The sequence below is a fragment of the Homo sapiens genome, chromosome 4 (genome assembly GCF_000001405.40).
Source record: "Homo sapiens chromosome 4, GRCh38.p14 Primary Assembly".
Lineage (NCBI taxonomy): Eukaryota > Metazoa > Chordata > Mammalia > Primates > Hominidae > Homo > Homo sapiens.
In genome coordinates, this window is record NC_000004.12 from 25,693,701 (window position 1) to 25,720,468 (window position 26,768).

The 26,768-nt window shown below is 43.3% G+C and overlaps 1 protein-coding gene and 3 pseudogenes across 4 annotated transcripts in view; all 4 read right to left on the reverse strand.

The window, feature by feature from the left end:
• Positions 1 to 20,263: 20,263 nt before the first annotated feature.
• Positions 20,264 to 26,768, reverse strand: part of SEL1L3 (SEL1L family member 3) — a 149,603-nt gene continuing 143,098 nt past the window's right edge. For 2 of the 4 annotated variants that reach the window (XR_007096387.1, XR_007096388.1), the window contains exon 25: positions 20,264 to 21,166. The gene's annotated coding sequence lies outside the window, so the exon portion shown is untranslated. Of the gene's footprint in view, positions 21,167 to 22,143; positions 25,476 to 26,768 lie in introns of those variants that run through there. The other 2 variants (XR_001741182.3, XR_007096389.1) reach the window with 1 other exon arrangement.
• On the reverse strand, positions 24,382 to 26,045 carry MTND4P9 (MT-ND4 pseudogene 9; annotated as a pseudogene).
• MTND4LP22 (MT-ND4L pseudogene 22) lies at positions 26,055 to 26,330 on the reverse strand (annotated as a pseudogene).
• Positions 26,399 to 26,731, reverse strand: MTND3P5 (MT-ND3 pseudogene 5; annotated as a pseudogene).

The window sequence follows — 26,768 nt, forward strand, 5'->3', positions numbered from 1 at the left end:
GTAATCCCAGCACTTTGGGAGGCTGAGGCGGGTGGATCACCTGAGGTTAGGAGTTCCAGAGTAGCCTGACCAACATGGTGAAACCTCATCTCTACTAAAAATACAAAATTAGCCAGGCGTGGTGATGTGCACCTGTAATCCCAGCTACTTGGGAGGCTGAGGCCGGAGAATCGCTTGAATCCGGGAAGTGGAGGTTGCAGTGAGCTGAGATAGCACCACTGCACTCCAGGCTGGGCAGTAACAGCATACAGATGGGCCGGGCATGGTAGCTCACGCCTGTAATACCAGCACTTTGGGAGGCTGAGGCGGGCTGATCACTTGAGTCCAGGAGATAGAGACCAGCCTGGGCAACATGGCAAAATCCCATCTCTATAAAAAAAACACAAAAATTAGCCGGGCATGGTGGTGTGCACCTATAGTCCCAGCTACTTGGGAGGCTGAGGCAGGAGAATCTCCTGAGCCCAGGAGGTGGAGGCTGCAGTGAGTCGAAATTAGCCAGGTGTGGTGGTGGGCACGTGTAATCCCAGCTCCTCGGGAGGCTGAGGCAGGAGAATTGTTTGAACCACGGAGGCAGAGGTTGCAGTGAGCTGAGATTGCACCATTGCACTCCAGCCTAGGCAACCAGAGCAAAACTCCGTCTCAAAAAAAAAAAAAAAAAAGGTGGGTTCACTTCATTATGAACTTGTCCAAACCCACAGAATGTACAACACCAAGAGTGAACCTGATGTCAGCTATGCTCTTTGGGTGATAATGATGTGTCAGGTAGGCTCGTGGATTGTAACAAGCATGACTCCCAGGAAGCATGTCAACTCGGAAGCTGGATTTTGCTCAGAAGTCTCCTCTGCTCAGGGGAAACACATCATCTCCTTGTATCTTATCTCAGTAATCAGGGGCATGCTTCTAGGAATCCAAAGAAACATCCCAAGTGATAGTGTGTACTCAGGACAGGAAGTTCCTGTGGTTTGGGGCTGCTGAGGTCAGAGCCTGGAAAGGGAAAGTGTACTAGAGGTTAAAGAACATTTGCTTCCCAGGTCTGCAGAGCAGGTCATTTTCTTATCATTCCCTGTCCTTCCCTCTCTATCTCCCGCCTTCCTACCCTCTCCTGCCCCACCCTCCAACACATCTCTGGGGCCTTTCTGGCCTCCTGTCAGTTTGATCCTACACTGCTTTTCTCTTAGCATGAAGGCAAGACTCATTATCAGTGCTCTCTCCTGTGAAATATAGAAGAAGAATAATCATATTTTCTACAGAAGGGTGTTGGAAGAATTAAATAGAAATGCTTGTGTGGCTGGGAGCGGTGTTCACACCTGTAATCTCAGCACTTTGGGAGGCTGAGGTGGGAGGAATGCTTGAGCTCAGGAGTTCGAGACTAGCCTGGGTAACATAGGAGACACCATCTCTACAAAAAATTAAAAAAAAATCAATCAGGTGTGTGGCTCATAGCTGCAGTCCCAACTACTGGGGAGGCTCAGGTGGGAGGATCACTTGAGCCCATGAGGTCTAAGGCTACAGTGAGCTGTGATCACACCACTGCACTCCAGCCTGGGTGACAGAGCAAAACCCTGCCTTAAAAAAAATAATAAAATAAAATAGATAAATAAATAAAGGCCGGGCACAGTGGCCCACGCCTGTAATCCCAGCACTTTGGGAGGCCAAGGCGGGCAGATCACCTGAGGTCAGAAGTTCAAGACCAGCCTGGCAACATGGCAAAACCCTGTCTCCACTAAAAATACAAAAATTAGCCGGTCGTGGTGCCGCGTTCCTGTAGTTTCAGCTACTCAGGGAGGCTGAGGCAGGAGAATCGCTTGAACCTGGGAGGCAGAGGTTGCAGTGAGTTGAGATTGTGCCATGCACTCCAGCCTGGGCGACAGAGCAAGACTCTATCTCAAAAAAAAAAAAAAAAATGCTTGTGAAACTGCTTTGTAAATTGTGCACAGACAAGCCACTGGTCCCTCCCCCTTGCAGTCATTCATTCTTTCTACAGAATCCTAGTAAGTGTGACTGTGTGCCAGCAAGTACTCTAAGCACTAGGAATCCCACAAGGCATGAGATATACTGACAATTAAGCACATTCTAGTGAGGAAGACAGAGAAGTAGACAGTTCCCAGGGCGTAAGTTTTGCTAGGAGACTGGGCAGAAGAAGCCACCCCAACTGCAGATCCTATTTATACCCGCCACTTAATGGTTCTGTATGTTTAGGAAAGTTATTTCACCTTTCTGACCCTTGGGTTTCTATCTCAACAATGTGAACAAGATCTCTATTTCACAAGGTTATTGTGAGGATTAAATGAGATTTCCCTAAATCTCAGGTATTAGCATTCTCCCTTAGAATGCTTGCTCTATCTCCCTGCAGCCTCTACAATTGATTAACATTGCCACCTACTTTTGCTTCATCTTGGGTAATAATATTTGTGAATCATGGAGTTAGTGTTCAAGTCCTCTTGTTTTCCTAATAAACAGTAAAGCAAATGCTTAGCTGTTAGCATTTTAACAGTTCAATAGGGTCCCACCTAGAAATAGCTCATGTGCCCCAAGGTTATAAGTACTGAGATCCATAATTAAAGCATGATCACATTGTATTGCTTGGTGTTGGTAAGGCTTAAATATACACAATTTTATTGATTCTAAGAAGTAAGAATGGAGTAGATGACAGGACCCAATGCATAGAAGGAGGATGAGGGGAGGGAAGAAAGAAAGCCTTCCATCGGGGGTTGGGAGGTGGCTTCGGAGCTTAGCCCTGGAGCCTGCAGATCACCTGGCAGGTAGAAAGGGGTTGAGGACTGAAATGGGTGAAAAGGAAGTGCTTTCTAAGAAAAGAACAAAGATCAACTGGGCTCGGTGGCTCACGCCTGTAATCCCAGCACTTTGGGTGAAGGATGAGCCTGGGGCTATAGATAAGCTGAGGTCAGATAAAGAAAGGCTTGCATGCTCTCTGGGGAGTTTGGACTTGATCCTGATGGATATGGTGAAATTCAGCAGGTGTTTGAGGCCTGAATGTCACGTGTTCCAGTTATAGCCTAAGAAGATCTCAGGAAAATTATTTAGAGTGGGTCAGCACAAGAGGTACACAAGGATGCATGTACCAAGGTTTCGAGCCTGATGCATTTGTAAAAATACCTCTTGTGCTTCTGATTCTCACTTCTTTGTGTTTTCGCTCCTTGTTCTTTAATAGAGTCTTCCAAATAAATCAGTCCGTATGGAGGTATACATTTATTTCAGTAGAAATAAGCACTATGTTTCTGATATAAGCCTCTTATCAGAAAGATAGAGGCTTTCTGATAAGCCAGAGCTCTTTGAGAAATCGGAGGCTGATGAAAGTCAGAAACCTGAGATCTGTCTTCAGTTCCTTCCGCTGCCCACCCTCCTGGGGAAGACCAGGGTTGACAGGCCTATCAACTACACCTCTCTTTTTTTAAATTTTTTTCTATTTTGAGGTGGAGTCTCACTCTGTCACCCAGGCTGGAGTGCAGTGGCGCGATCTCGGCTCACTGCAATCTCCGCCTCCCAGGTTCAAGCGATTCTCCTGCCTCAGCCTCCCAAGTAGCTGAGATTAGAGGTATACACTACCACGCCTGGCTAATTTTTGTGTTTTTATTAGAGATGGGGTTTCACCATGTTGGCCAGGCTGATCTCAAACTTCCAACCTCAAGTGATCCTCCTGCATTGGCCTCCCAAAGTGCTGGGATTACAGATGTGAGCCACCGAACCTGGCCTCAACTGCCCCTTTCATTACCGATCAGTTCTAGTCCTTCCTCACTGCTCACTACCCCTGCAGTTCCTACCTTCATTGTCTCTTATCTCAATGCTTTGTAATGATCTATGAACCAGTCTCAATGCTGGTTTTATCTCAATTCCTCGACTTAATAGCTAAGAATTCTGAGTAGCTAAAGGATCCTAAGCAAATCCTTTAATCTTACTGTCTCAGCTTCCTCGTCTGTCAAATAGAGATAATAAATGAATATATCTGCCTCATGGGTTGTTGTGGGGATTGCCAAGACCAGCTTGGCTGGGGAGACCCAACCCAGCGGCGCCAGAGGAATTAAAGACACACACAGAGAAATATAGAGGTATGAAGTGGGAAATCAGGGGTCTCAAAGCCTTCCAAGCTGAGAGCCCAGAATAGAGATTTACCCACGTATTTATTAGCAAACCAGTCATTAGCATTGTTTCTACAGATGTTAAATTAACTAAAAGTATCCCTTATGGGAAACAAAGGGATGGGCTGAATTAAAGGGATAGGTTGGGCTAGTTAACTGCAGCAGGAACATGCTATTAAGGCATAAATCGCTCATGCTATTGTTTGTGGCTTAAGAATGCCTTTAAGCGGTTTTCCGCCCTGGGCAGGCCAGGTGTTCCTTGCCCTCATTCCTGTAAACCCACAACCTTCCAGCTTGGGTGTTAGGGCCATGATGAACATGTTACAGTGCTGCAGAGATTTTGTTTATGGCCAGTCTTGGGGCCAGTTTATGGCCAGATTTTGGGGAGCTTACTCCCAACAGGGATTATGTGAACTACTGAGTTGAAACACTTACTATATTACATGGCACACAGTAGAAGTTCAGTAAAGGCTTGGTATTAATATTATCACTCCACTCCCACCTCCCATTCTGTTCATTAGAGCTGCCTAAAAAAATAAAATAAAATAACTGCCAGGCATGGTGGCTCATACCTGTAATCCCAGTGCTCTGAGAGCCCAAGGCAGGCTTACCTGAGGCCAGGAGTTTGAGGTCAGCCTGGGTAACACAGCAAGAACCTGTCTCTACAAGAAATAATTAAAAAAAAAAAAAAGCTGGATGTGGTAGCATGAGCCTGTAGTCTCAGCTACTTGGGAGGCTGAGGCAGGAGGATTACTGAGCCCAGGAGTTCAAGGCTGCAGTTAGCTATAATTGTGCCACTACACTACAACCTCGGTGACAGAGCAAGACACTGTGTCTAAAAAAAAATAAAATAAAATAAAAAATAGAACCAGTAAGCCAGTAGTATTATTAATTGAGTGTGTGGTGGCTCACACCATAATCTCAACTCTTTGGGAAGTCAAGGCCGGAGGATCACTTGAACCCAAAAGTTTGACACCAGTCTGGGCAACATGATGAGACCCTACATCTACCAAAAGAAAACAAAATTTAGGGCTTAAAACAACAATGATCATTGAATATTATTATCTCTCAGGGCTCTGAATGTTGACTGGGCTTAGCTTGGTTGTTCTATCAGGGTCTCAAGAAGTTTCCAGTCAGACGGTGGCTGGGATTGGAGTCAGTGAGTAGGCGAGTCAGTCTTGCTTGCTCACATGTCTTGTAGCTGATGTTGGCTGCTGACGGCCTAGAACCTTCGCTGAGGCTGTTATTCAGAAGTGAATGTGGCCTCTCCTTCTGGCCTGGACTTCTTCACTGCATGGTGCCTGGGTTTCAACAGACAGTGTCCCAAGAAAGAGAGTCAGATGGAAGTTGTATCACCTTTTGTGACCTAGCCTCAGAAGTCACGCAATGCCACTTCTATTACTTTTGAAGACTGAGTTCTGATTTTTTTACCTTGCCCAAATTCCTACCTAAAGGGGTCTAGGGAGTCATGCCTTATAAACCATAAATTCTCATCAGAGGGGTTATTTGACCCTATATATCGTGACTTAGTTTTCAGTCTGACTCTGGCATAACATTATGAGACAAGGAAAAATATTTAACCCCAAAATATATTTCCTTGCCATACCTTGAAATTGCCCTGCAACGTCTCTTGGGGGAAATATCCACATTCTATAGAGAATCCCCTTTCCCCTTTGTTTTTCTTCCTTTCTTTCCAGATCCAGGAGATAATCAGCTAAGAGCCAGGCACCCTTTTAGGTTCCATAAGAAATATTTTACGGCTGGGCGCGGTGGCTCACTCCTGTAAGCAGACTTCAGGGAGAAAGCAGGTTGTAAAATGTTTCTTTTGCTGGGCACAGTGGCTCATGCCTGTAATCCCAGCACTTTGGGAGGCTGAGGCGGGTGGATCACGAAATCAGGAGTTTGAGACCAGCCTGGCCAACATGGTGAAACCCAGTCTCTACTAAAAATACAAAAATTAGCCAGGTGTGGTGGCATGTGCCTGTAATCTCAGCTACTCAGGAGGCTGAGGCAGGAGAATCACTTGAACCCAGGAGGCGGAGGTTGCAGTGAGCCGATCTTGCGCCACTGCCCTCCAGCACCCGAGTAGCTGGGACTACAGGCGTGTGCCACCATGTCCAGTTAATTTTTGTATTTTTAGTAGAGATGAGGCTTCACCAAGTTAGCCAGGATGGTTTCGATCTCTTGACCTTGTGATCCACCCGCCTCAGCCTCCCAAAGTGCTGGGATTACAGGCATGAACCACCGCGCCCGGGGAAAAGAAACATTTTACAACCTGCTTTCTCTCTGAAGATTGATATCTGAGAGATTCCTCTACACAGTAAAACTTGGTCTCCACAATCCTTTATCTTAACTTGAACATTCCTTTCCATAGATCCCAGGTCTTCAGATAAACTCAACCAATTGTCAACCAGAAAATGTTTAAATTTACCTATAGCCTGAAAGCCCCTGCTTTGAGTTGTCCCACCTTTCTGAACCAAACCAATGTATTTCTTAAATGTATTTGACTGATGTCTCATGCCTCCCTAAAATATATAAAACCAAGCTGTGCCCCAACCACCGTGGGCACATGTTCTCAGGACCTCCTGAGGGCTGTGTCATGGGCCATGGTCACTCATATTTGGCTCAGAATAAATCTCTTCAAATATTTTACAGACTTTGATTCTTTTCATAGACACTTTCTTTCTCTCTCTTTTTTTTAATTGAGATGGAGTCTCAGTCTGTTGCCCAGGCTGGAGTGTAATGGCATGATCTCAGCTCACTGCAACCTTTGCCTCCCGGGTTCAAGCAATTCTGCTGCCTCAGCCTCCTGAGTAGCTGGGACTACAGGTGCACACCACCACACCCAACTAATTTTTTTGTAGTTTTAGTAGAGGTGGAGTTTCACCATGTTGGTCAGGTGGTGTCGAACTCCTTACCTCAAATAATCGGCCCACCTCAGCCTCCTAAAGTGCTGGGATTACAGGCGTGAGCCACCGTGCCCCACCTTCATTGACACTTTCTATTCACTGGTGGGTAAATCACTAAAGCCAGCCCTTATTCAAGGGAGTGGAAGTAGACTCTAGTGCTTTATGCAAGACTGTCTACAAATTTGCAAATATGTTTTAAAACCACCCAAGTTCACCCTCTGGTCACAATTTATTTACATTCCTCCCACATGCAAAATACACTCATGTCCTTTCAAGACCTCTGTAAGACCCTTGTACTACAACATCAGGCCAAGGGATATAGTTCAGGATCTTGTTAACTAAACCAGGACCAGGTGTGGATGCAGCGCCTTGGGTGTGATTTCTTGGGTATAGCTCCTGGCATATCATTCCTCTCAATCTGAAGTTCTGTGAGCTAAATAAACAAGTTGTCTGCCCTTTACACACCCAATATACAATGACAACACAGGCATACATTTTTATTTTTTTGAGACAGAGTGTCACTCTGTCACCCAGGCTGGAATGCAATGGTGTGGTCTCGGTTCCCTGCAGCCTCTGCCTCCCGGCTTCAAGCAATTCTCCCGCCTCAGCCTCCCTAGTAGCTGGGACTACAGGCACATGCCACCACACCTGGCTAATTTTTGTATTTTTAGTAGAGACGGGGTTTCACTATGTTGACCCAGGCTGGTCTCGAACTCCTGACCTCGTGATCCGCCTGCCTCGGCCTCCGAAAGTGCCAGGATTACAGGCGTGAGCCACCATGCCCGGCCAACACAGGCATAAATTAATAGACCCTCCCATTCGAAATGGGGGAAAACAGGAAGCACACACAGTCACTGATCCACAGTAACTCTGAAATTCAGCTGGTTACATGCTGCTGGTTTGTTGATCAGGGTGCAGTTCCCCTGCTGGGGAGTTATTCTCCATAGGTCTTGGCTCCACTTTCTGAGCTCATGCTTCTGTCCTCTAAATTAGTTTTCCTTTTCTTTTTCTTTTTTCTTTTTGAGACCGAGTCTCACTCTGTTGCCCAGGGTGTAGTGCAGTGGTGTGATATCGGCTCACTGCAATCTCTGCCTCCCGGTTCACACGATTCTTGTGACTCAGCCTCCTGAGTAGCTGGGACTACAGGGTATGCCCAGCTAATTTTTGTATTTTCAGTAGAGACAGGGTTTCACCATGTTGGCCAGGCTGGTCTCAAACTCCTGACCCCAGGTGATCCGCCCGCCTTGGCCTCTCAAAGTGCTGGGATTACAGGCATGAGCCACCTTGCCTGGCCTAGATTTCCTCTTCTATAAAACTTAGCTTTGGGTTGAGAGCAGTGGCTCACACCTGTAATCCCAACACTTTGTTTGGCTGAAGTGGGAGGATCACATAAGGCCAAGAGTTCGAGGCTGCAGTGAGCTATGATAGTGTCATTGCACTCCATTCTGGGCTATAGCACAAGATCATATCTCTAAAAATAATAATAATAAATAAAACATAGCTCATTTTTGCAACTGAGTATGCTTCCTCCCTGAAGATATTTGACAGACCATAGTTTTCTCTTTTTTTTTTTTTTTTTGAGACAGAGTCTCACTCTGTCACCCAGACTGGAGTGCAGTGGTGTGAGCTTGGCTCACTGCAACCTCCACCTCCCTCGTTTCATCAGTTCTCATGCCTCAGCCTCCTGAGTAGCTGGGATTATAGGTGTGCGCCGTGATGCCCAGCTAATTTTTTGTATTTTAGTAGAGATGAGGTTTCACCATGTTGCCCAGGCTGGTCTTGAACTCCTGACCTCAGTCAATCCACCCGCCTCAGTCTCCCAAAGTGTTGGGATTATAGGCATGAGCCACTATGCCTGGCTTTCTCTTTTCATTCCCAAAGTGGGAGGATTGCTTGAGCCCAAAAGTTTGAGATCAGCCTAGGAAATATAGTGAGACCTTGTCTCTTAAAAAAAAAAAAAAAAAAAAAAAAGTATAAATAAATAAAACAATACAAAAACAAATTTCTTCTTTTTATAAGGACACCAGTCATATTGAATTAGGCCCAGCCTAATTACCTCATTTCAACTTGATTGCTTTTATGAGGACATTATGTCCAAATAATATTACATCCTGAGATACTAGGGGTCCGAAGTTCAACATATCTATTTTTTTTTTGGTTGGTGGGGTGAGTGGGGAGGTGGATAAAAATTCAACCCATGACAGCTACGCTCAGTTAGGTGGTTCTCACTCAGCATCTCTCAAGCAATTACTGTCAGATGCTGGCTTCAGCCGGCATCATCTCAAAGGCTTGCTTACTCACATGGCTCGTGGTTGATTTTGGCTGTTGGCTGGGATCTCAGCTGGGCTTTCAACCAGAATTCTTACATGTGATCTCTCCACATGGTATGGGCTTTTTCAGAGCAAGGCAGCCGGTGGCAAACAATCAGACTCTGCCCCTTGAGGGGAGAAGTGTCAATAAATTTGCAGACAGATTTTAAAATCACCACATCCTCCATCTCCTAATCCTTTCACGGTGCTGCTGACAGCAAGAGCCTGGTTTTTCTGAAATGCAAATCTGACCATGCTATTTTTTTTCTTGTAACTCTTTAATAGTGCCTGATTTCTTTTTCTTTTCTTTTTTTTTTTGAGACGGAGTCTCACTCTGTTGCCCAGGCTGAGTGCACTGGCGCAGTCTCAGCTCACTGCAATCTTCGCCTCCTGGATTCAAGCGATTCTCCTGCCTCAGCCTCCTGAGTAGCTGGGATTACAGGTGTGCACCACCACGTCCAGCTAATTTTTGTAGTTTTAGTAGAGATGGGGTTTCACCATGTTAGCCAGGCTGGTCTCCATCCATTCGGCCTCCCAAAGTGCTGGGATTACAGGCGTGAGCCACTGCGCCAGGCCTTGTTTCTAATGAGATAGAGGCCAACCCCCTCAGCATGAGCTTCAAGGCCTTCATTTCTGCTGTCCTCTCTACCAAGAACCACACTGATACCTGGGAGCCTGTCAATATGAGGCCTCCTTTCAGGGCATTGGAAGCCATGGAGTATGATTGCTGTTCAAGAAAGGTAAATTTGCAGATAAATACAAAATGAAATTGAAGCAGAGATGTGCAGTCACCCAAAAGAGACAGATTGGCTTCCAGGCCCAAATACTTTGCTGTAAAACCAACTGAAAGGGTTGCCATGTCCAAATTGAGATTGTGCTTATCAAAAGTGGAGCTGGGCAGCCACAGAGGCTGTCAGCATCCACTCCAGCTTTGTCAGGAGACAGGGAGCCCTGGCCTGAGGGCCTGGCCTGATGATTCTGAAATTTCTACTGTGGAAATAAACTATTTGAATACCCTAACTCATTGGGACTAACTTCCTTGTTCCAAATATGCATCTAGCCACTCTTTGATTATGATCTGGCTTCCCATGTAGCTTATTATGGGAGAGAATTAGACTGCTATGATGGTTCACATCCTTCTATAAATGAATAAACTAGCCTTCTGGGGTTAGTCATCAGCTTCCGAGATTGCATTAATGGGAGTCTGTCATGCTCTGCGTGCTCAGCTGATTTCTGAGCTCATGTGGCTAAGGATAAAAAAGGGTGAATGTAGGGTGGGGCAAAAGAGGCACCTTGGACACAAAATTTAAGAAGGCACTCACTCTCAGGGTCTTGCAAGTGTGTTTTACTCTGTTTTCCGTTGCTGTAACAGAATACCTGAAACTGGATAATTTATAAAGGAAAGAGATTTTTTTTAGCTCATGGTTTTGGAGGCTGGGAAGTCCAAGATTAGGCACCCACATCTGGTGAGGGCCTCAGCTGCTTCATAGCACAGTAGAAAGCAGAAAGCAGAAGGGGAGAGAGGGCATAATGCAAGGGAAAACAGGGCTGAACTCCCCATAACTAAACCCATTTCCTTGAGAAGGCATTAATCCCTCTTAACGACCTAATTACCTCATAAAAGCCCCACCTTCCAGCACTGCCACAGTGGCAATCCAATTTCTACATGAGTTTCAGAGGTGACAAACCATATTTAAACCATAGCAAATTGCTTTCTTAAACTTTGTGCCCTAGGTGCCTCTCTTGCCTCACCCTAGTCTCAGCCTGATATATTCAGAAAAGCAGGTGCCATTTTAGGGAATCACCTTTATCTGATCAGAACCTAAGTTCCTAGTTCCAAAGGTGACATTATAATCTGCTTGCTTTTCCTCTAGGCGAGTGTTCCTATCTTTTTTCTTTTATTTGAGGCAGAGTCTCGCTCTGTTGCCCAGGCTGGAGTGCACTGGTGCAGTCTCAGCTCACTGCCATCTTCGCCTCCTGGATTCAAGGGATTCTCCTGCCTCAGCTTCCTGAGTAGCTGGGACTACAGGCATGCACCACCACGTCCAGCTAATTTTTATAGCTTTAGTAGAGACGGGGTTTCACCATGTTGGCCAGGGTGGTCTTGAACTCCTGACCTGAAGTCAGGTGTGAGCCATCATGCTGGCCAGGTGGTCCTTTCAATAGAGAACCAGACTTTCCAGCTGTGAGTAAAACGCAAGCAAGCTCTAAGACAGCCTCCCAGCGACATGAGACCCAAGGAGATAGGAGCAAGAGGGGAAAGCATAGGGGAGGTTTAGGGTAACAGTAACACTACTTTAGAGGGAGTAGGGTTTATGCTGATTGGGGAAGAGATTAGTATCAAAGTCCTAGGCATCCTAGGACATTGTCCCTGTGGACACTGTTCAAGGATACGAATTTGCCCTCAATCCCATAGACACAGGCTGACTAATAGACTGGTACCTTTCAGTACCAAAATATGTATCATATTTTCTCCCACCTCCAGCTCAACCTTCTATTAATAGCAAGCAAGTAACCGCTCCCTCTCATCCCTTGGTTAGCCCTGGCCCTAAGAAACTAAAACATATGCTGATTAGCTAAGGTCATTTTTTCTGTCCCCTGCCAGCTTTATATTGCTGATTACACAGGTAACTCTAGATCCCACTGGGCAAGATATTGGGATTTGGGGGGTTAGCAGAGAGCAGGGACAAGGCATCATCCTATCAGGGGCAAAACAGCCACCTCTATCTTGAACCCCTCACACCCAGCATAAATAGCATCCTCTTATGCAGTGCTGGAGATATCGCAAGCTTGAGTTAGGAGTGGGATGAAAGTAAAGGACAGAGACAGGTCTCAGATTTCCCACGCATCTGTGCTGGCCAATATTTTAGAACTCCTTTCAAATCAGTAGGTTAATGTAGCAAGGCGAGACCACATCAGGTTGGTCCCAATCTGGTACTTGGGATTAATGTATCATGAAAGGAATAAGGCATGTGGCTGTGGCCAATTAGAAAGCCAGTGATGTTGGGAGTACTAGTTGGCAGAGTTCGCACTCCAAGCGAGCGGGGCTTTCCCTTTGTCCTGCAGTTTTTCCTTCTGTCTTCACCTCTCACCCTCGGCCCCCTCCAATAGGCTTGGCCTAGAAAGTTACTTTGTGCAGAGAAAGCAATGCAGTAGAGTGAGGGACTCCAGTCTTGGTAAAAGCCAGACCTGGCTTTGAACTCTCAATCTGCCACTGACCATCTGTGAGGTATTGGTCAAGTCAGTTAACCTCTTTGAGCCTCAGTTTCCCCTGCTGCAAAATGAGGACCATATACCTACCCACAAGTGTCACAGTATTTGCAAAGTATTTGACAGGTAGTAGAGTCCAGTGATACTAGTTATATTGAGGTCAGTTCTTTTGCATCTTTTTTTTGAAATGAAAAAATCATCTGAAAAAAAGATTTCATTTTTTTTATTGATTTTTACAATCTTAATAGGATTGAAGGAGAAAGTGATTGCATTAGAATTTTTTGAGAAAGCTTTCTAGTGGGTTCTTTGGGCAAGAATTTATAACAATGATGATAGATAACATATATGGAGCATTCACCATATGTATGGCCCTCTTCTAAGTACAATGCATGGGCCAGGCACAGTGGTTCATGCCTGTAATCCCAGCACTTTAGGAGGCTGAGGCGGGCTGGTTACTGGAGGTCAGGAGTGTGAGACTAGACTGGCCAACATGGTGAAACCCTATTTCTACTAAAAATACAAAAATTAGCCGGGCATGGTGGCGGGTGCCTGTAATCCCAGCTACTCAGGAGGCTGAAGCAGGAGAATCACTTGAACCCAGGAGGCAGAGGCTACAGTGAGCCGAGATTGTGCCACTGCACTCCCACCTGGGCAACAGAGTGATACTCCATCTCAAAAAATAGTAATAATGATAATAATAATAATAATAAACTAAGTACATTGCATGAATTAATCATTTATTATTCTACCAGATCTGTGAAGCGGGACTACTGTCATCTCTATTTTACAGATAAAACAAAATACCAATGTCTCCTAGACAGCATGTTTACCTCTTTACTCCTTCTGTATTGTTTGTTTGCTAAAGAATAGCTTTGTCCCTTTCCTGATTAAAAAAATATATATATTGAGGGGATGGCCAGGCGCAGTGGCTCACGCCTGTAATCCCAACAATTTGGGAGGCAGAGGCAGGCGGATCTCTTGACATCAGGAGTTTGAGACCAGCCTGGTCAACATGGTGAAACTCATCTCTACGAAAAATACAAAAATTAGCCAGGTGGGGTGGCACACGCCTGTAATCCCAGCTACTCGAGAGGCGGAAGCAAGAGAATTGCTTGAACCCAGGAGGCGGAGGTTGCAGTGAGCTGAGATCATGCCACTGCACTCCAGCCTGGGCAACAGAAACTTTGTCTAAAATAATAATAGTAATAATAAATACATATATATGAAATTTCGTAACACAAAATTAACCATTTTAAAGTGAAAAATTCAGGGGCATTTAGTACATTCACAACGTTGTACAATCACCACCTTTATCTAGGTTTTATTTTTTTATTTTTATTTTTTTGAGACAAGGTCTCACTCTATCACCCAGGCCGGAGTGCAATGATGCAGTCTTGGCTCACTGCTGCCTCAACCTCCTGCGCTCAGGTGATTCTCCCCTCAGTCTGCCAAGTAGCTGGGATCACACGTGCGTGCCACCATGCCTGGCTAATTTTTTTTTCTTTTATTTTTTTTTGAGAAAGAGTCTTGCTCTGTCGCCCAGGATGGAGTGCAGTGGCGCGATCTCGGCTCACTGCAACCTCCGCCTCCCAGATTCAAGTGATTCTCCTGCCTCAGCCTCCCGAGTAGCTCGGATTACAGGCATGTGCCACCACGCCCAGCTAACTTTTGTATTTTTAGTAGAGATGGGGTTTCACCATGTTGGTCAGGCTGGTCTCAAACTCCTGACCTCGTGATCCGCCCGCCTTGGCCTCCCAAAGTGCTGAGATTATGAGCATGAGTCACAGCACCCTGCCTATCTAGTTTTAAAACATCTCCATTACTCCAAAGTGATACCCCTTACCCATTAAGCAGTTTCCCCTCATTACACATTTCCACCTCCTCGCCCACTGGCAACCACCAATCCATGTCTGTGTGTATGGATTTATCTATTCTGGATATTGCATGTAAATGAAGTCAAACAATATATGACTTTTTGTTTCTGGCTTTTTTCACTTAGTATGATGTGCTTGTGTTTTTGCTGTTGTTGTCTGAGACAGAGTCTCACTCTGTCGCCCAGGCTGGAGCGCAGTGGTACGATCTCGACTCACTGCAACATCCGCCTCCCGGTTCAAGCGATTCTTCTGCCTCAGCCTCCGGAGTTGCTGGGACTACAGGTGCCTGCCATCATGCCCAGCTAACTAACTATAATGTTTTTATCTACATTTGGATAATAATAATAAACTAATTACATTGCATGAACTGTCATTTATTATTCTACCAGATCTGTGAAGCGGGACTACTGTCATCTCTATTTTACAGATAAAACGAAATACCACTGTCTCCTAGACAGCAGGGCCATTTGCATATATTCTTCGGGGAAATATCTATTCAAGTTCTTTGCCTATTTTTTAAATTGGATTGTTTGTCTTTTTAAATTCTAAGAGTTCTTTAATATCCACATTTGGATAAAAACATTATATTAAAACAAACAACCCAATAAAAACATTATATTAAGTGAAAAAAGTTTAATGTTCACCTAGTATAATGTGTTTATCCACATTGCAGCCTGTATCAGTACTTTTTTTTGGCTGAATCATACTCCATTGTATGCATATACAACAACTTGCTGAGCCATTCATGGGATGAGGAACATTTGGGCTCTTCACACCTTTCGGTTATTGTGAGTTGTGCTGCTATGAACATCCATGTTCATGTACTCGTTAGAGTGCCTGTTTTCAATTATTTGGGGTTTAGATCTAAAAGTGGAATTGTGAGATTTAGATCTAAAAGTGGAATTTAGATCTAAAAGTGGGTTGGGCACGGTGACTCATGCCTATAATTCCAGCACTTTGGGAGGCCAAGGCAGGCAGATCACCTGAGGTCAGGGATTTGAGACCAGCCTGGCCAACAAGGTGAAACCCCTGTCTTTACTAAAAAAAAAAATACAAAAATTAGCTGGGCATGGTGGTGGGCGCCTGTAATCCCAGCTACTTGGGAGGCTGAGGCAGGAGAATCACTTGAACTTAGGAGGCAGAGGTTGCAGTGAGCCGAGACTGCACCACTGCACTCCAGCCTGGGTGACAGAGTGAGACTCTGTCTCAAAATAAATAAATTAATTAAAATAAAAAATAAAAATAAATACATAAAAGTGGAATTTTGGGGTCCTGTGGTAATTCTGTGTATAAATTTTTGAGGAACCCCTAAACTGTTTTCCATGGTGGCTGAGCCACTTGACATTCTCACCAGCAATGTATGGGCATTCCAGTTTCTCCACATCCTCCTCGACACTTGTGATTTTTCTTTTTTTTTTAACACCATCCTGGTGGTGTGACGTGGTAACTCTTTGTGCTTTCTATTTGCACTTTTCTAATAATGAATGATGTTGAGCTTCTTTTCATGTGCTTCTTGGCCATTTGCATATATTGTTCGGGAAAATATCTATTCAAGTTCTTTGCGTATTTTTTAAATTGGGTTTTTTGCCTTTTTAAGTTGTAAGAGTTCTTTATATATTCTGGATACTAGACTCTTATCACATATGCAATTTGCAAATATTTTATCCCACTCATAGATTATCTTTTCACTTTCTTGATAATGTCTTTTACTTTTTTTTTTTTCTTGAGACAGAGTCTTACTCTGTCTCCCAGGCTGGAGTGCAGTGGCACAATCTCAGCTCACTGCAACTTCTGCCTCCCGGGTTCAAGTGATTCTCCTGCCTCAGCTTCCCAAGTAGCTGGGATTACAGGCACAGGTCACCATACTTGGCTAGTTTTTGTATTTTTAGTAGAGATGAGGCTTCACCATGTTGCCCAGGGTCGTCTTGAACTACTGGACTCAAGTGATCCAACTGCCTTGGCCTCCTAAATTGCTGGGATTACAGGCATGAGCCACTGTGCCCGGCCATTTTTTTTTTTAATTAAAAAATTTTTATTTCTTTTTTGAGGCAAGGTCTCACTCCATCTCTCAGGCTGGAGTGCAGTGACATGATCACAGCTCACTGCACCCTCAACTTTCAGGGCTCAGGTGATCGTCCCACTTCAGCCTCCCAGGTAGCTGGGACCACAGGCATGCACCACCATCCCCAGCTAATTTTTGGTATTTTTTAAGAGACAAGACCTTGCCATGTTGCCCAGGATGGTCTCAAACTCCTGGGCTCAAGCCATCCACCCACTTCGGCCTCCCAAAGTGTGGGGATTACAGACATGAGTCACCATGCCTGGCAGTTTCTATTTTTCATAGTGATGAGGTATGGCTTTGTTGCCCAGACTCTTCTTAAGCTCCTGGGTTCAAGCCATCCTCCTAACTTGGCCTGCCAGAGTGTTGGTGAGGCCAGAGAATAGAGTCTGGAGGCAGGGAACTTGAGAACAATTTGTGCTGACTTCCTAAAGCTGAATCAAGGGAAAACATCAAGTTCTGGGGGCCAGGAATCTAAGCCCAATTCATGAAAATTTCCTAAGGTGAAATCAGAGGGGAAATACTTGGGTCTGGGAGCAGGAACCCTAAGGCCAATTGGCAGGAACTTCCTAAAGCTACACCAAAAGGAAAAACTCAATCTCCCCAGGCCCAAGTAACAAAGGATCAAAGGCTACTTACTCTCCTACAACTTCCCTCCTTCCCCCAGGATAGAGAGGGAGAGTGCCCTGGAGCGGAAGGGGACTGAGGAAGCACTACCCCTTCATCTGCATAGGGCATCAATCTGCTCCAGCCTTGGGTTAGCCACCGGCCAATTCACCTCAGCCTTTAATTAGCCACAGGCCAAATCTTTCATCCAGATAAGAGGTAGCTGATAGGAACCTCAAACGGACTACTTAAACCCCCACAAACTTTGTAGGTGGGGTCCTTGAGCTGCTTGCTTCATTCTACTCCTACCCTATGGAGTGCTTTCTTTTCTTTTTTCTTTCTTTTCTTTGAGATGGAATCTCGCCCTGTCGCCCAGGTTGGAGTGCAATGGTGCAATCTTGGCTTACTGCAACTTCTGCCTCCCGGATTCAAGCGATTCTCCTGCCTCAGCTTCCCAAGTAGCTGGGATTACAGGCATGCCCCACCACACCTGGCTAATTTTTTGTATCTTTAGTAGAGATGGGGTTTCACCATGTTGGCCAGGCTGGTCTCAAACTCCTGACCTCGTGATCCGCACACCTCGGCCTCCCAAAGTGCTGGGATTACAAGCCTGAACCACCACTCCAGGCCAGAGTGCTTTCTTGCTTTAATAAATCAGTGTTTTTGCTGGGTGCAGTGGCTCACACCTGTAATCCCAGCACTTTGGGAGGCTGTGGCAGATGCATCACTTGAGGTCAGGAGTTCAAGACCAGTCTGGCCAACATGGTGAAACCCCCATCTCTACTAAAAATATAAAAATTAGCTGGGCTTAGTGGCTCATGCCTGTAGTCCCAGGTACTCAGGAGGCTGAGGCAGGAGAATCGCTTGAACCCGGGAGGCAGACGTTGCAGTGAGCTGAGATCATGCCACTGCACTACAGCCTGAGTGACAGAATGAGACTCTGTCTCAAAAATCAATCAATCAGTCCCTGCTTTCGCTGTTTCATTCTTTTGTTACTTTGTGCACTTTGTTCAATTATTTATTCAACCTGGACATCTCACAATGAATGGCTGCCTTCCGGTAATACTGGGATTACAGCTGTGAACCACCATGTTCAGCCGATAATATCGTTTGATACGCAAAAGTTTTTAACTTTCATGAAGTCCAATTGATCAATTTTGTCATTTGTTGCTCATGCTTTGGTGTCATATCTAAAAATTCTTTGCCAGCCGGGTTCATGGTGGCACACACTTATGGTCCCAGCTAACCAGGAGGCTGAGGCAGGAGGATGGTTTAAGCCCAGCTGCAGTGAGCCATGATCACACATGGTACTCCAGCCTGGGCAGCAGAGCAAGACACTGTCTCCAAAAAAAAAAACAAAATGAAACCATTGCCAAATCCAAGGTCATGAAGATTTATTCCACTTTTCTGCTAAGAGTACTATGGCTGTTATATTTAGGTTGTTGATCCATTCTGAGATTTATTTATTTATTTATTTTTTAGACAGTCTTGCTCTGTCACCCAGGCTGGAGTGCAGTGGCATGATCTTGGCTTACTGCAACCTCCGCCTCCCGGGTTCAAGAGATTCTCTTGCCTCAGCCTCCCGAGTAGAGTAGCTGGAACTACAGGTACACGCCACCACGCCCGGCTAATTTTTGTATTTTTAGTAGAGACGGGGTTTCACCGTGTTGGCCAGACTGGTCTCGAACTCCTGACCTCAAGTGATCCGCCCAGCTCGGCCTCCCAAAGTGCTGGGATTACAGGCATGAGCCACCGCACCTAGCCCTGAGATAATTTTTGTATGTGATATGAGGAAGGGGTTGAACATAATACTTCTGCATGTGGGAATTCAGTTGTGCCAGAACCAATTGTGGAAGAGCCTATTCTTTCCCTACTGGTGGAGAAAGATCCTTACATGATTTTAATCTCTGTGGAATATGCATGGAGGCAGGTAAAGAAAAGTCAGCCACTCCAAACCCTGGTCTGGAAACAAGCAGGGAGCCCAGGACAAGTTGATCAGTGCTTCAAACAAAGGACAGGGAGGAGGAAAATTTCCAGAGTCGCAGCCCTGCGTGTAAGTGGAGGAGCTGTTCTCTGTTTATGATTTTATCAAATGTAAGTTGAGTGGCACTTTCAAAATAATTTAATTTATAAAATGCAGTCAATAGAATGAATGTTGCAAACCATGTGGTAACATTTAAATCCCATAGTTGGAGCTCAGTACATTCAACATACCCACACACAAGGCTAATCTTTGTATAGGGGAGCTGAAAGATTTCTATCATTTAGGTAATTTACTTCCTCTGTTTGCTTTTTTTTTTTTTTTTTTTTGAGACAGTATCATTCTGTCACCTGGTCTGGACTGCAGTGGCATGATCTCAGCTCACTGCAACCTCCACCTCCTGAGTTTGAGTGATTCTTGTGCCTCAGCCTCCCAAGTAGCTGGGAGCATGTCATCATGCCTGGCTAATTTTTGCATTTTTAGTAGAGGCAGGGTTTTGCCATGTTGGCCAGGCTGGTCTCCAACTTCTGACCTCAAGTGATATGCCCGCCTCGGCCTCCCAAAGTGATGGGATTACAGGCATGAGCCACTGAACCGGGAAACTTAGTAGGGTTTTTATAGAGATAAATTAGTTAAAATATGTGAAGTCCTTTGAGTAGTCCTTGGCTATATAAGTGGTAGCTATTTGCCATCAAGATGATGATCATGATGATGAATGATGATGATGATGATTATTTTATCATCTTCATCATTATGTTCTCCTGACTCTTTAAGGAAGGGGAGAAAAGAACAGTTTATAATATCCGCAAAACAGCAATATATCAAATAATAGTTTTTTTGTTTTTTGTTTTTTTTTTGAGACGGAGTCTCGCTCTGTCTTCTAGGCTGGAGTGCAGTGGCTTGATCTCGGCTTACTGCAACTTCCGCCTCCTGGGTTCAAGCAATTCTCCTGCCTCAGCCTCCCGAGTAGCTGGAACTACAAGCGCCCACCACCACACCCAGCTAATCTTTTGTATTTTAGTAGAGACGGGGTCTCTCCATGTTGTGCAGGCTGGTCTTGGACTCCTGAGCTCAGGCAATCTGCCTGCCTCGGCCTTCCTAAGTGCTAGGATTACAGGCATGAGACACCGTGCCCGGCCAAAGAATAGATTTAACAAAATATTTGTTAAACCTTTAGGATAGAAATTATAAAACTTCATTAAAAGCCTTAAAAAAAGATGAGGATGCAATTTATCTATTTATTTTTCCCACACGTGAACCACCAGTGATGATGCAATTTAAATGATTTGTCTGATAAGGCAAGTCACTCCTCTTTGTCTTTCTCCAAAGTTGTCTTAAGTACTTTTTGTCCCTTTGCTCTTCCAAAAAAATTTTAAAATTAGGTGAGTTTACAGATGAATTTTGGGGGGACTTGAAATCTTTATGAGATTGAGTTCATGTCATAAAGTGAGGGGGCCTGCAGTAGCTGAAGCCCCATGGGACCACCAGCCTTTTTCATATACTCCAAAGTACCTTGCGAAGATGATCATTTTCTATGTGAAAATGATGTACAAAGGTTACTAAGCACTGGAATGGACCAGAGGGCTAGAACAGGGAACTCAGAAATAGAGCCTCATATACATTGCAAATTTCATCATCTCCAAAAGTGCCATTACCAGTCTGCTGGGATGAAAAGGATTATTCAATAAATGGTACAGCTACTTATGTATATGGACAATAAAATAAAATTGCTTTCTTTCTTTCTCTTTCTTTCTTTTTCTTTCTTTCTTTCTTTCTTTCTTTCTTTCTTTCTTTCTTTCTTTCTTTCTTCTTTCTTTCTTTCCTTCTTTTTCTTTTTTTTTTTTGAGACAGAGTCTTGCTCTCTCACCCAGGCTGGAGTGCAGTGGTGCAATTTTGGCTCACTGCAACCTCCATCTTCTGGGTTCAAGAAATTCTCTGCCTCAGCCTCCTGAGTAGCTGGGATTACAGGCATGCACCACCATGCCCGGCTAATTTTTGTATTTTTTAGTCGAGATGGGGTTTCTCCATTTTGCCCAGGCTGGTCTTGAACTTCTGGCCTTAAGTGATCTGCCTGCTTCAGCCTCCCAAGGTGCTGAGATTACAGGTGTGAGCCACCGCGCCCTGCCAAGAATGCAAAATATTACAAAGTTTTTTGAAATGTAGGATAATATTTTGATGACATCAGATCAGGAAAAAACCTAACAAAAGCAGAGAAAGCTCAAATCATAAAACAAAAACAAATAAGTTGAATCATATGCATGGGAACAACCACTACAACTTATGTCACAGACAAAGAGCTAATTTCAACAAGAAAGAACATTTTCAAATCAATAAAGTAGCAATAATTCGATAGAAACAGATAGATCACAGAAAAGTATACATAAGTGGTCTTAAGAATCTAAAAATACTAAATTTTTGCACCCTATGTTCAACTTCGTTAATAATAACAGAAATACAAATCAATGGTCAGGCATGGTGGCTCACACCTGTAATCCCAGCACTTTGGGAGATTGAGGCAGGACCATCACTTGGGTCCAGGAGTTGGAGACCAGCGTGGGCAACAGAGCAAGACACGCTCTCAATTTTTAAAAATTATATTTTTTAAAAAAGAAATGCAAATAAAAACTACATTGAGATCCCATTTTTCACCTATCGGGTTGGTAAAAATCCAGAAGTCTGACTTATGTTATTGTCCATGGTAGAGGAAATAGACCCTTTTACAATGCTGTGGGGAGCAAATTTTTACAACCCCTATGGTGGAAATTTGGCAATATCTGTCAAAATTACAATTGTACCTACTCTTTGGCCATTTCCATATCTAAAAATGTTTTCCCTAGACATCTACACACGCGTGTGCCATGATAAAAGAACAAGGTTACTCAGTGCACCATTGTTTGTAACAACAAAATATGGGAAAGAAGCCACTAAATATTAATCTTGTTAAATATAAATTATAGTACATTCATATTATGGAATATTATATAGCTATAAAACAACAAAGAAACTCTCTTAAATATATTACTGGTGTGGAATAATCTCCAGGTTATATAGTAAAGGAAGAAAAAAAAACCCAAGATGCATAACAGTGTACACTAATATTTGGATTAAAAAAGTGAAAATATTTATTGTATTTTGCTTTTATGTGCATAATTCTGGGAGGACACTAAAGGGAATTGGGTGATTTGAAGAGGCAGAGAATAGACCTTTTACTATATGCTCTTTTGTACCTCTTGAAGTTTAAGCTATGTGCTGTATGCATTATCTTTCAAAAGAAAGAGCAATATATTAAAATTGAACACATTTGCTACATTGAAGTTAAAATTTTTGATATAATAAAAGGTATCATAAGAGGTTAAAAGACAGTAGGAGAATATATTTTCAATACACGTAACTGAGAAAAGATTCGTATCCAGAGTTCCAAATCAATAAGAAAAAAAAATCCAATATGAAAATGAACAGAAAATATGATCAAAACACTCACAGAAGAAGAAATGTAAATGGCCAATTAACATAATAAGAAAGGCTTATTATAGTGATCAGGAAACTATATATTAAAATGAGCTATCATTTTACTACAGTTGATTGGGAAACGTTTTAAATTCTGACACATTCAAGTATTGGTGAGGATATAGAACATAGAGAACATTCATAGCTTGCTGGCAGGAATGTAAATTGGTATTACCACATTGGAGAACTACATGGCAATAAAGTAGAAAATATGCATGCCCTTTGACACAGTAATTGCACTTTTGGGTACATAATCTAGAAAACTTCTAGAACATTTGCTTTAAAAGATACGTACAAAATATCCATTGATATATTATTTGTATTAACAAAAATCAACAAGAAAATGAATAAATAATGTTATTACAAAATTGAACATTATATAGCAATATTCCTATTCCAAGATTCCTATATGTATCAATGAGAATAAAGTGTAAACACGTAAGCTGGAGTTGAAAAGCAAATGGTTTAAAGAATATTACTTAAATAAAATTTTAAAACATTCAAATAATTCTATGTAATTTTTGTGCTAATCTACATATGTAGTAAGAGTATGACAAGTACAATGGAATTAGAAACACTAAATTCAAAAAAAGGCCAGGTGCGGTGGCTCATGCCTGTAACCCCAGAACCTTTGGAGGCCAAGGCAGATGGATCTCTTGAGCCCAGGAGTTCGAGACCAGCCTGGTCAACATGGTGAAACCCTGTCACTATTAAAAATAGAAAAATTAGCCGGGCATGGTAGTGCATGCCTGTAGTCCCAGCTACTTGGGAGGCTGAGGTGAGAGGATCACTTGAACCCAGGAGTCAGAGGTTGCAGTGAGCCGAGATCACACCACTGCTCTCCAGCCTGGATGACAGAGTGAGACCCTGTCTTGAAAAACAAACAAAAACAAAAACAAAACTCATGTAATCCATAAATATATACACCTACTATGTAGCACAAAAATTAAAAATAAAAAAAACCCCATTAAATTCAAGTCATGGTTACCTCTGGGCATAGAGGGAGGATGAACCTTTTCCTGGCTGTGTGACAAGAACTAGGTTTTTTTCTACCACGATAGGAGTAGGGAAGAATGGTTATGGGATATTTTTTGTGGCTATAATATTTTGTTTTATAAAAACCAATGATTGTGCAGGGCACAGTGGCTCACGCCTGTAATCCCTGCACTTTGGAAGGCTGAGGCAAGTGGATGACCTGAGGTCAGGAGTTTGAGACCAGCCTGGCCAACATGATGAAACCCCATCTCTACTAAAAATACAAAAAATTGCCGGGCGTGGTGGCAGATGCCTGTAGTCCCAGCTACTTGGGAGGCTGAGGCAGGAGAATCACTTGAACCCGGGAGGTGGAGGTTGAAGTGAGCCAAGACTGGGCCACTGCACTCCAGCCTGGGCGACAGAGCGAGACTCTGTCTCAAAAAAATAAAATGAACAGAGGAGGAATTTAGCATAGAATGCTAAGAAGCAAAGATGTTTTTGCCAGGGTTTACTTTCAGTTCTACCATTTGTAAGCACTGTGACCCTGGGCAAGTCACGTAATCTCTTTAAGCCTCATTTTCCTCAGCTGCAAGATGGGGATAATTATAGTAGCTAGAAGATTAACTAAGATAAAGGTTAAACAATCTTATGAATGCATGATCCTTGTACATAGTAAGTGATAAGTCCCTAAGACCAACGGATGACTCTAATCCTTTAAAAGTTGAGAAAACCATATTATCAGGCATGGGGGCATGAGCTGTCAGTTCTTGCATACTTTCTTGATAGGTAAGAAGTTGCAGGCTTCTATTGTTAGATCCACAATCTAATGTTTTGGTTGAACTATAGCTACAGCATGCAAACCCTATAATAATTTTAGGGTTTAAGGATAATAGGAAGATAGGCTCAAGATGTATAAGTATTAATGTATTTTCTCATGTAAAGGAAGGTTTAATACTGTTAATATAATATGCAAGTGTCCCTCATTGTGTCTTGATTAGCATATACAGGGAGGAAAGGGCTGTAATTAGTATATTAAGTCCTATAAGCATAATAGTGACATTTGATCAGGAGAATGAGGCCATAGTCACAAAGAGTTCTCCTGCTAGATTAATGGTAGGGAGTAAGGCAAGGTTAGTAAGATTTGCTAGAAGAGGCTATTAGTGGGAGCAGTGTTTGAAGCCCTCGGGTAAGTAATATGGTTCATCTATGGACTCGCTCATAGTTTGAATTTGCTAGGCAGAATAGTAAGGATGAAGTGAATGCGCGAGCAATTATAAGGGTGATTGCACCTATAAAGCTTCAAGGGTCTGGATGAGGATAGGCATAATAACAAGTGCTATGTGGCTTACGGAGGAGTAGCCAATACGTGATTTTCGATCAGTTTATCGTAGACAAACAGAGCTATTCCTCATAGGGACAAGATGAGGAACAGACAGGCTATCTATTCTGTTAGGGGGGTGAGGATAAGAGTAAGCTGTATCATACCGTAACTGCCTAGCTTTAGGAGTACTGCTGCAAGAACTATTGAGCTTCTATATGAGCTTTGAGGAGTCTTAGGTGAAGTCCATATAGAGGTATTTTTACTATACAAGCCATGATACATGCTAGTCATATAAGATTATTGGATCAGGAGGTTAATAGCTCTTGGGTAGTAAGTATTATTACTAGGCTGGGCGTGGTGGCTCACGCCTGTAATCCCAGCACTTTGGGAGGCTGAGGCAGGCAGATCACCTGACGTCAGGGGTGTGAGACCAGCCTGACCAACATGAAGAAACCCCGTCTCTACTAAAAATACAAAATTAGCCTAGCGTGGTGGCACATGCCTGTAATTCCAGCTACTTGGGAGGCTGAGGCAAGAGAATCGTTTGAACCCGGGAGGCGTAGGTTGCGGTGAGCCGAGATCGTGCCACTGCCCTTCAGCCCAGGCAACGAGAGTGAAAATCTGTCTCTTAAAAAAGAAAAGAAAAGAAAAGAAAAGTATTATTACTAGCATATTTAGTGACCTTGATATCTTTTGAGTATAAACGAGTGTTACAAGTAGAGGAAGGGATCCTACTAATGTGTAAAATAAGAAGTATGAGCTTGCATTGAGGCGTTCTGGTTGGTTGCCTTAGTGGGTGATGATACTTAGGGTAGGAACTAGCGTGGCTTCAAAGAGGATATAAAATATAATTAGTTCTGTGGCGGTGAATGCTATGATTTAAAAAGTCTGTAGGGAAATCAATATAGAAATATAGAGCTTTTTTTCGGGGGTGTGATTCATTGGACAGGTGATATTGGCTTGCTAGAATTTTAAGAGGTAGTAGTCAGGCTGTTAAGATTAGAAGAGGTGATGTCAGCGGGACAGAAGAGAAGACTAATGAGAAATTGGATGAGGTATTGTTGAATTGGTTAAAAAATAGTAGGCTGATGAGGCTGATGAGCAGGCTGTGGATAACCAGTTGATTCAGATTACAGAATTTTTAGAGAATCATGTCATCGGTAACAGTGTAATTGTTGGAACAATAATATTTAGCATTGAAGCAAACAGATTTTGTACATAATCTAGGCCATACGTACTGGAGATTGAAACTAGTAAGGAAAGGCCCACGGCAGCTTCGCAGACAGCAAATACTAGGAGGATAATAGGTATTATGGATGCTAGAGCGAAATGTATATTTAAAGTTATGAGAGGATTTATGATAAATATTGATAGTATTATGCCTTTTAGGCATCATAGGGATATTAGGTGTGATTGATAGACTAATACTCCTAGTAGTGATATGGTGTATGCTAATATAATATTAATGTAAATAGAGGGCATTTGGTAAACACGGTCTATCATAATCTAATGAGTTGAAATCATTTATTTTGACTTAAACTATTTACCAATTCAACTCAGTCTAACCCTTTTTGGGCTCATTCATAAGTCAAGCCTGGGATTAAAATGGTAACTAATATAAGGGCTGTGCTGATTATTAGTGTCAGATTGGTTGTTTGAAGGGCTCATGGCAGGGGTAGTAGTAGAGTGATCTCTAAGTGGAAGAAGAGGAATGTGGTGGCTACTGGGAAGAATTTTAAGGAGAAGGGGAAGCAGGCGGAGGTTATTGGGTCAAATCCACATTCATAGGGGTTGGATTTTTACATATAAATATTAAGTTGTGGGATCCACAATGCTATTATTAGTAGTAATAGGGCCAGTGAGGTGTCGGTTACTAGGCCTAGTGTCAGGTTGATTACTGTCTTTCAGATAGTATCGAAA